The sequence below is a fragment of the Homo sapiens genome, chromosome 6 (genome assembly GCF_000001405.40).
Source record: "Homo sapiens chromosome 6, GRCh38.p14 Primary Assembly".
In the NCBI taxonomy this organism is placed as follows: Eukaryota; Metazoa; Chordata; class Mammalia; order Primates; family Hominidae; genus Homo; species Homo sapiens.
This window is the reverse complement of record NC_000006.12, coordinates 81,720,306-81,731,656: the sequence shown is the minus strand read 5'-3', so window position 1 is coordinate 81,731,656 and position 11,351 is coordinate 81,720,306.

Here is an 11,351-nt window from a genome sequence, read left to right as displayed (position 1 = left end):
CGGTTGTGAATCTGAGAAACTGAGCTGATCAGGAGGATCTCCAGGCTGAGTGGATTAAAACCACTTGTCTCATTTCCATTTCAGCCTCCTCACCCCATGTGGAGGTGAGGCTTTCCTCAGGTGGTCCCCTGCCAAAGTGGGGAAGTCAGCTGGATTCCTTATCCTACTCAGGTAGGCCTGAGAGCAAGGGGTTATGGATCGTCTCACCAAAATATCATGTATGTCAAAATGTCATAATGGGTGTGTGTTAATAAAAAAAATGTGTAAACCTTCCTTCAAAATGTCATGCCAACAACAGATATGTGTGGTAGTAAAAAATGTGTATATCTCCCATCAAAAGGTCATATCAATAATAGACGTATGTTCTAATAAAAATATTTACTTTTGCTATAAGCACTTTCCTACTTAAGTTAATTGGTGCTACTAAAACAAGAGTATAGCTACAGAACGTTCAAAATCAATTTCTTATTTGTGCCTCTTCAAACAGTTTAGGTAAATGAAGTAAATTTACAATGTATATTTTGAGTAAAAGCATTTTCTATAAATAATGAAACACGAGTAAAATAATGTACTGTTGGTTACCTATTCCACTGAGGGTAGTAGAACTAAATTGTTTAGATTTATGCAGGTTTCATTTAAGTCGTGATTTCTAAGAGTGTATCTATTCTTGAAATTATTCTGAAAGACTAATAACAACTTCCTTTGACATTTGATCAAGTACATTATTAAAATTCAGAAGCCAGAGAAGAATGCAGAACACTTGGAAGTTGTTCAGAGGAGAGCCTCAAAGATGATTAAAGGGATGAGAAATGAGACCCAAGGAAAGTATAATTTATTGAGATGATTCCATTTTGACAGGGCAGAGTTTGAGGTGATGACTCAGTTCATGTTCTGTTGACTAGAACTCGAACTCTGTGCTCTGCCATAAACTATATTGCTATGTCAAGTAATGTTCATAATTGGGACAATGAAAATTTAGTAATGAAAAATTTTATAATGATTTTGATTTCATTCCTTTTTCCCTGCAACCGAATTTAAGTTTCATTAAATGTAAGGTTAGTGCATTCTCCTACTTCGCAAATGGATAATACATAGGATTCTTATTTTCACACCACATCCAGAAATAGTTTCCACATTCTAAACTCTGAAACAGGAAAATGCCTTGGTGTTCATCTTCATCCAGATGAATCAGGTCTTAATTTTAGTTTTCTGGAAAGAAATAGCAGCGTGTACAAATCAAATTTTTTAAATTAATAATTGCAGCAGATTTTCAGGGCTGGCTGATAAGTCATTTTCTGTAGTGGTTGCTAATTGATTATTAACTCTCTAGAATGACTTAAATATGATGCTACCCTAAGACACTGAAAATAGAGCTGATCTACTTGGAGCCTAAGATCTTATGAATTTTCTTTTTTTTTTTTAAGCTTTAAAATTTTTTTTTTGTCAGAGGCTTTTCAGTGTTCTAGTAAAAAAAACCTCTTAGATTTGCAAGATTATAGATTGCCTATAAATATTCTGCAACTAATGCATTTATGTTTTAAGTCCGTAAAGGAACACTTAGTATTGCTATATCTGCAGGTAGTTTGTTGTACATTTATGTTTCTTAATTACTATGTTAGTAAACAGTCTCTCGGGTGCTTTTTCTATGATTGATGAACTTACTTTTTATTTTGATAAAGATGGCTGTTGCATTAGTGCTTAACCTCCATAGTGTAATCATTCTTGCCCCAGACAGATTTTCTTGACCTGAAAACCAAATGTCTCTGTGGTAAATGCATTACATAAAAAAAGACCCTACACTCTGCTTTTTCTTCTTGTAAATCAGTTTTCTTATGTTTCACTTTTATGAGTTTCTAGCTGTGATGTTATTACAATTGATTCAGCAATGGAAGAAATATTTAGTTGGATTTCAAAGGAATATTCTATGCAGTTGTGGTAGAAAGACATTCACTTAAGGTATTGTCTTAGTCCATTCATGTTACTACAACAAAAATGCCATAAACTGGGCAGCTTATAGACAATAAACATTTATCAGAGTTCTAGAGACTCGGAAGTCCAAATCAAGGCATTGAAGGGCACTAATCCCTTCATGAGGCCCTACCTGCTGATGTGATCACCCCAAAGGCCCTACCTCCTAATGCCATCACCTTGGGGATTAGGATTTCAATATATAAATTTTGGGGAGTACAAGTTGTGACACCATAGCAGGTATCTTGAATATATCTTGTAGTCCCAGATTTTCTAATTCTTAAGAATCATCAAATCTGATAAATTTCACACTTTACATGTCTTATGAATGCCCTACAAGTAGATGCAGGGGCTATACTCAGATTAAAAAAAAAGGGTGGATGTCTGCATTTGCTCGTGAGACTAATCTCAGCTGCAGGCAGACTATTTCGGAAAATTGTTAGAATTTCATGGGGTAACTTTTACTCCTTCCCAAGCTAATTATTTTTAATTTCTCTTTCCTTCTACTTTTTGTTTGTTTTCCATGAGTTTTTTTGTTTTATTTTATTTTAATCTGCAGACAATTTGCAGTGATTAGATTTGTTCAAAGTAGACCCAGATTCTTTAAGACTGGTGAATCCTCTCAAATTGAAACAAAACAAAATTACAGACACATACAGAGATGCACACACACATGCATACCCACATAAAAACAAAATATACAGAAAGAAAGTAAACTTTTCTGTTATACTACTATTCTTGGACCTCAAAATGATATTCATAAAAGCTTAAGGCAAAATGAGGGATGAAATCCAGATGAACTGGAACACTTGCTTTATGCCCTAAGAATTTATCTGAAAAGTTGTGGGCATATTGAATTTCACTTTAAAATTTTGGTATTAGAAGAGCTATCATTGAATGAAATTCTGCAGTGCTTCTTTTTGCAAAATGAAACATTCTTTTAGAGGGCAGAAGAGCCTCTTTAACAGATCTCTTTCCAATGAACCTATTTTTTCCTGTAGTCTCTTTGAGCATCAAATTTATAAACTGTAAAATAGATACTAGTTTGTACTTGATAGAGTGGTCAAGAGAATTAAATGAGAATTAGTTTTTTGAGTAATAAAGCCCTACATAAATGTCAGTAGGCTTATGTTTCAGACTGACACCTGTATTATATTAATAAGTCTTCATTTAGTTTGTGTAAAGGGGATGTAAGTTGGTGTCTACTCCTGCTCTGTTACCTGATTTCTAAAGTGTGAGTTTGTATAAATCCTTAAGTACTTTGAACACCAGTTTTTCATTCACGTATTCATTCAGTAAGAAGGTATCAAGTGCCTACAATGTACCAGGATGCCATTGGCTCTGGGGATATAGCAGTGCAAGACAGAAATGCAGCTCATGGAGCTGGCGTTCTGATGGTGAGATGCAAGCACCAAACAAAGGAAATACGTAGGTATGTTAGAAGGTGATAAGTAGTGTGCAAAAAATAAAACTGAAAGGGGATAGAAAATGCGGGGGATTGATTTTTTTAAGTTAATTAAGGTTGTCAGGGAAAGACCTCTCTGAGAAGGTAACTTTTGAGAGAAGACCTGAAAGTGATACAGGCATGAGTCATGTCGAAATGAGAGAGGAACAATTCCAGGTAGAGAGAACGGCAAACAGAAATCTCATGCAGTGAGCGTATGTCTTGGCAAGGAGGCCACTGTGCTGGAGGTAAGTCAATGCGAGAAAGTCACAGAAGCTGAGGCCAAAGGTGGTGAGTGGCAGGCAGAATAGGACTGTGTAGAGCATTTAAGGACTTTGCTTTTTACCCTGAGTAAGAAAATGAGACATTTGAAGATTTTGTGTGATTTAGATTTTAACGGAGTCCTTTGGCTGGAGAATATAAAATACAGGTTATCAGGTTTATCCTTTAAAATCTTTTCTAGCTCTAGGTCCAAGATTCTACATTGTTTGATAGTTTCTCTACCAATTTTCCTCCTATTATTCCGGGCAGAAGAAAATCCTCTTCAGGCTCTTCTTGGTCAACTCCTGGGACCAGCTATTTGACACACTGCAGGAGTTAATTCTCCATGGAAGTGGAGTCAATAAGGCCAATTGAACCTTCACTTTCTCATGGCTTTAAAAAAATAATTTAAAAGAAGATCGCCGTGTTTCAGAAGTACTAAAGAAATGTTGTTAGTATATATGAGGGTTCATGGTGTGTATATAAAGACCATATACTTTTGACCTCAGCACAAGTGAGCAGCTCAGTGCAAGTCAACTCATCTTGTGGACTTATAGGAAGACCCTCTCTCCTGTCCTTCTTCACAAACCTATGAAAGGCCATTCTCTAAATTTTAACAAAAGTCTCTTCCCTTACCAATAGGTGAAAGATTTGTCTCAATGTAATGTAATCCCATGAGATTCCAGAGTGAGGAACATGCTAGTAAATTCCAAAAGACTTTTAAGTTCTTCGAGAATGTTAAAGGAAGAAATTAGCTTCAAGTGTTAAAATTATTTGCAATGCCAGCTTTATAAATTTGTTTTTACATGCTGCCACTCTAAATACCCCAGTACATTGTTATTTGGGCAGTAGATACTTTATTTGTGTGATGACCTGTAGTATGTCAGATTTTAGGAGAGCAAACTCCAGTGTGAAACAGAACAGCTGTTGTTCTGTACATTCCAATGATGGCTGATGCTGTTGATTATTTAAAAAAAGAATAAGATAATTTTGCTTTTATTTATGGCATTATAATTAAGCCAAATTTTCTTTATTTGGATGTAAACTTTCTATATTTAGCAAATATACTGAGTTGGGTAGAGCAATAGAAACCTCAAATTCATTTGTATTCTGACAGAGAGAGAGATAGAGAGAGAACATCAATGTTCTCTGCAATGAATTTTATACTTATAAAATAAAACATTAACTGAAATAACCAACATCATAAAAAAAGATATGGGTGGCAGTTACCGAAGGGCATCTGGATCCTCTGTAAAAGACCTTGAAATTCCCAAGCACTAAGTTTAATAAGGAAAAGATGAGAAGATCATATTGAAATACATAAAATTAACTTGGCAGAATATTCACAATTCATTTTATGCATGTATATAAGACAATCCCCTGTGCATCACAGTGTATTAAAAAGGACATGTGGGTTGGTATTAAGGATTACATTGAGACAAAACACAAGCTAATTGTTATATGGTTAAAGGCACTATTAAAAGTGATAGGGTTTAATAAGGAGTATCATGGCCTGCTGTCCAAATACAGTGACTGTCTATGCTGCCGGCTTAAGGAGATCAGGAGAATACTTCAATGAAACTACTTAATACTTCAATGAGTATTAAGAAATTTATTCACCAGATTAGTTCCCAACTTTACTTCTCTTTAAAAATTTTTTTTTAAAAAAAGTTACACATGCATAATAATAACATGCAATGGGTAATAATTACATCATGGAAAATGAGGTATCCATCTCCTCAAGCATTTATCCTTTGTGTTACAAACAATCCAATTATACTATTTCAGTTATTTTAAAATGTACAGTTAAATTATTATTGACTATAGTCACCCTGTTGTGCTATCAAATACTAGGTCTTATTCATTCTTTCTAACTAATTTTTGGTACCCATTAACCATCTCTGCCTTCCCACCAACCCCCCAAAACATTTCCCAGCCTCTAGTAACCATCCTTCTTGCAGATTTACTTCTGAATCACTCACTTTGAGAGGTTACTTATATATGATTACTAAAAGTCAAGATAATAACCAGATTATTTGGAAGAATCATGAGTATCAAAATGATGACCAAATAGTTGACTTATCTGATCCTTTACTTTCTACATTTTAAATTTTCTTCCACCCAGCCAACTAGCGAATTTGGAGCTGCTTAGACAACCATTCTGCTCTAATACGAATTATTTGTATAGAAAGTTAAGATACCTCAGAAATCCAAGCCTGACTGCTGGATGTCGGGCACACAGCCACTGTGCCACTGTCCATCAAAAGCACACAAAACCAGCAAGAAGCCCCACAGGCTTTGATTTCGAGGTCCTTAGGCAAATGGTCTCAATTTTGAAATTATCTCTTCTTAATAGGAAGTACTCACATAGTGCTATTATATGTCAGGCATTTGAATTTATGTAATCCTCACATCAGTCCTATCTCATGTGTATCAGTTAGCTTTGTGCTGCATAAAAAAGGGCCTTAAAATTTAGTAGCTTCAAACTAACTAGATCATATGCCTAGAAGACAATAGCACTGCATATTATTCACTAGTCTGTGGGTCAGCTGGACAGTTCTGCTTATCCAGCTAGTGTATTTTCTGCCTGCTAATCTTGGCTGAGCTCTGTTATAATTTGTGGGGCCTTGGCTGGGACCAATGGACCGACTCACTGGTTCTGGTCCATGTGATTGCTCATCACCCAGCAACATGTTCCTATGATGGAAACATCATTTTCCTATGGGGAAGGCAGAGTCCTGGGAGAGAGTGGAAGAGAACAATGTCTCTTGAAGCCTGGGCTTGGAGATAATGCATTGTCACTTGCAATGGGTTTTTTTGACCAAAATAGTCGCAAGGCCAGCCTGTAGTCAAGGGAGGGGAAATAGATGGGAGGAACTACAATGGATGTGAATATAGGGAGAAGTAAAGGACTGTGTCCATTTTTAGAATCTACACAAGTGGGCACAATTATTTTCATTTTGAAGATGAGGGAACTGAGATACAGAGTTTAAATGACACAGTTTATATAGATTCTAAATGTCCAAATCAGAATTCAGACACCCAGGGAGAGACAGACTCCAGAATCCATGTTGTTTATCAATATGCTAAATATTTATTTTGTGTGTGTATTTCCTAGATGTCACTGCTACACGTGTTGAGAAAGAAGATCATGCTCCTTGAATCCTTTCTTGTGCAAGACCTTTGATTCCCTCGGTACCATCCGTTCTATCCCATTCCCTGGACCAAATGTTTGCAATATATAACACTTCTTTAAACTTTAGTATTTTCTCCTGGTCTTTACAGTTACCTAAAAAAAAAAATTAAGTTTTAAAGTTTTAAAAAGTGGTACATATGAATGTGTTTTTGTCTTTAGAATGCAAATAGCTGAGAATAGAAACTATATTTTATTTAATAGTTATGTTTTTAGCAAGTTGTAAAATATTTTTCAAAATTCCCAAACAAGCTCTTTCTTCTACTAGCAGGTAAATTCCATTAAGATAGGGACCTAAACTCCAGGCTATAGTTGTTTCCGCAACTGGTAGCAAATGGGAAGTATTCAGTAAGTATGGATTAAATGGAGGACTGAAGGAAGCCACAATTTCAATTAGTAGTAGTAAATATATTTAATCATTGATTTTTATCAAGTAGGTTATACTAACATTATATTCTTTAGTTTTCAAAATAACTTTCTATGTTTTTGTGTATTCAGTGCCATTTTTTCTCATTATGTCTTTGTATTTTATGTATATATATATATGTTTGCGTGTGGTACTATAATACTATATCCAGATTTTAAAGACTTTTTTTTTTGTAAAGGTTGAATTCGTTTCCTCTATAATTTCATACTATGACTCCCTGTCAACCTGAAAACATGGTAGTGTTTTGAGACTATGGAAACTTTCAGCCCATGTGGGGCCTTGAGAAAGTTGGAGCTCACAGCCCATCCCTTCCATTGCTCTGTTGCTCGTTTGAAATCTAATCCTTGGGCTCAACTAAGTACTCTGTATTATGAGTGTTGAAAACTCCTTGAAGTTCCTTTTTGGAAACTCTTCTCAGTTACCTGGTGGGTTGTTTGCAGTGCTTTTTTCACTTTACCAATGGGAATTAAGACACAGACTGGGTAAGCAGCTTGTCAAATTCAAAATCAAGGCCAAAGGATTAGGTAGCCTAGATAAGAACTGAAGGAACTCATTTTATAGCTCCCTGTTCAAGAGCCTAAGAAATGTAGTTTGTAAGGAAAGCATAATATGGAGAACAAATACCACCTCTCTTAATCATGAATTGTGTGTGTTTGTACGAAGTTTTTTGATTAGAACATACTAAAGGGTTGGTATGTTGTTAGTTTGTAGAATCGACAGTGGATTCACATGATTATTAATAGGAGAAATATTTCATGATTAATCTCGTTAGCATGTATAATTGCTATCAGGAGAAAGATCATATGCCTAGAAGACAAAGAGCAAAATAAACTTATATTGATTTCTTCCTCTAGAGATTAGAACACAAGTCATCAGAATGCACGAGTAGAGCCCCAAGTTAGAATGCTGCCTAAGTATGGGTTCTTCCTTTGTGATAAACCCCATTTTAACCCAGAATCACAGCAATTGGTCTCAGGATGTTTTCCATGAATATATTTTATTACAGTGATATTGTTTGTCAATGAAGATTCTGAGGTTTTATCCATTGAGAAGTAGAAATCCTGAGTAACCGGCTTAAAAGTCTGTGGTCTTTACAACACATGAAATTGCGTTCTTCTCTGACCATTATTTTAATGATTTTTATATAATTACATCTTTATATAGTTAATACTATGTGTTCATACAGTTGCTTATGTATTTTGCCCTTTTTTTTGGTCTTCACAGTAAGAAAAGAAGCTGCTTTAGAGTGAGGGCTTCAGACCTTTCATCATCCTGGCTCTGGTCCATCCATCCTTTCTCTGATCTGTAGCTCAGGAATGGGGTGAAGTAGACATGCCCCAGATGCATGTCACTGCCAGGCAGGTCCTTGGATGGGAAAGTACAAGATGTACTCACAGAAAGGTGAGAAAAGGCACACGTGGTGGGAGCAACTTCTGCTAAAAACTTAACTGACTTAGAATCATTTTCTTTTTTTAAACTATAATTCTATGTATCACATTAGTAAAGGCCTCATAGAAGGGAGTGAAGTATGTCTGAAGAACAGTTGACTGCTGCTTATATATAAAAGAAATGAAATTTAAATACAACAACAACAACAACACACACACACATCTGTGACAGTCTGTTATATTGTGGTCTGTGGTTGATAAGGGCTTTTATCTTGACTAGCAGGAGAGAGTGCAATATGGAGCACTCTACAGATCAGCAGTTCTCTATCATTTTTCAATTTGTGATTATCAAACTGCCTGACTGAGAGGCAGGATAACTAGTATCATCTTTCCCAGACTTATAAGAAGAATTACCTGGAGGCCTCATTAAACATACAAATTCCCAGCTCCACCCAGATCCTGGTAAATGAGAGCCTCCAGGGAAGGACTGTGGATATTCATATTTTTAGTAAGTTTGAAGGTAATTGTGTTAGCTGATGGTTTTGAGGATTTATAATTCAACTTTGCCATTGTCTGTGTTGAGATGACATGTTATTTCACCATGTCTAAACATGCTTACTTTTCTGTAAAAGCAAGGTGATGATAGTATCTCCTTCTGGGTACTATTGTGAACATTAAATGACAAAATGTGTGCAAAACAATTATCATGGTGCTTGGCGGAAATGCTGGATTTGCATCAGCTACTTCTGTACCTGCTACTGTTGTTGTCATTTTACCTAGTGAACGCTGATGCTCTGGGTCCTCCTAATTGGAGGAAATAATACATATAAATGATATAGAGAAGTTTCAAGGGAAAATAAGATAAAGGAAAGGAAACTCTGACAGGTTGGGAAAGGGCTGAGGCAGTCTAGGTTAGAGAGATGGGCTAGATTGATCCTATGTAGAGAGAGGACCTAAATAGATCCTAGGCAACAGAACAATCAATTCTGTTCACATACATGCTCCAAGTTTTTGTTTTGCCTTCCCGCTTACTCCCCTTATGGGAATAAGGGACTTGGCTCATTTGCCTTGATAAAAAATGTTTTTGTAGGAACTAAGACATGATGCGGTTTAACTGGTCAATAATATTATTTTCATTTTCTAAAATTTTCATTTTGGATGTGCTGATAAAGACGATGTTATTGCTTTGCATGAACAGGGCCATCAGAAAGGCAAATATGTGTAGTTCTCATAACATCAAATTTATTCATTTACTATTTATTGAGCACTAACTCTGTGGTAGGCACTGTTTTAAACACAAAGGATATATCAGTGAGTACAAGAGTAGGAGAGGGAAACGCTCCTGTCCTCATGGAGTTTTTATTCTTGTGTGTATGTAAATACATACAGAAGTAAGTTATGTAATGATGATGAGAAAAACAAGTGAGTGTGTGTGTATGTAAATACATACATAAGTAAATTATGTAATGATAATGAAAAAAACAAGCCAGACAGGAGGAATGGGAGTATAGGTTGTGTGTGTGTGCTGGAGGGAAGGACAGACAAAATGAAGCCAGGATTATGTAGGGCCCAGGTAAAGACTTTAACTATGACTTCAAGTTATATAGGAATTTTATAAAACATTTTGAACTAATAATATTTTCAGAGAATCTCTCTGGCTTCTGGACAATGAATTCCAGGGAGGCAAAGTCCCTCTTCAGGTAGGAGACTATTATAATAAACTAAGAGAGAGCTGATGACAGCCTGGGCTAGGGTAGTAGCAGTAGAGAAGATGAAGAGTGATCAGATTCTGGATATACTTTATGGGTAGAGACAACAGAACTTGTTAGATAGATTGGAATTGGGGATTGACAGAAAGATAAGAATCAAGAAGAACTCAATCTAAGCAACTGAAAGTTAGGAGTTGCCATCCCTCTGAGATGGAATAAAGTATAGACAGGCAAGTTTTTATGGGTAAAGTAGCAGTTAGATTTTAGGCCTAAGTCAGACGTCTTAGCCATCAATGTGGAGATGTTGAGAATGAGAAGCAGGCAGTTGTATATGTGAAGGTCTGAAATTCAGGGGAGGGATTTGAGCCAGAGACATAAATTTAATGCCAAGACCAAATGGGATCACCAATAGAACGTATAGGAGACTGGACCATGGAAAGAGTTCTGGGACTTGGAACATATATATAAGAGGGTAAGGAGATGAGAAAAAAAACATCTCAGAAGACTGAGAGGAGCAGCCAATGAGCTGGAGGAAAACGAGAACAGTGTGTGTCCTGCAGGTCAAGGGAAGACATTATGTCAAGAAGAGAGTGATCAACTGTGTCAAATGGTACTGAGAACAAGATGTGTATTTTATTCACCACTGGATTTAGCAAAGTGACAATCATTGGTGAAAACCATGAGAGCAATTTAAGTGGACTAGTGCTATAAATAGCAGGATTAGTGTAGATTCAGGAGAGAATGAGAGTGGTGAAATGAGAGAGAAAATGAATGTGTGTTGCAGGAGGCAGGGGGATCTTACTTTTGAGAACTTCTCTAACACACACCCAAACATTCATACTCTTCTGCAATCTCAGTTTCTATACCCCAGTCAATGAAGCAAAGGCCCAAGACTTTAGACAAACCAGACTACTGACAGCTCCCCAAAGCCCCATGGTTCTTAATGCATCTAGCCACAGAT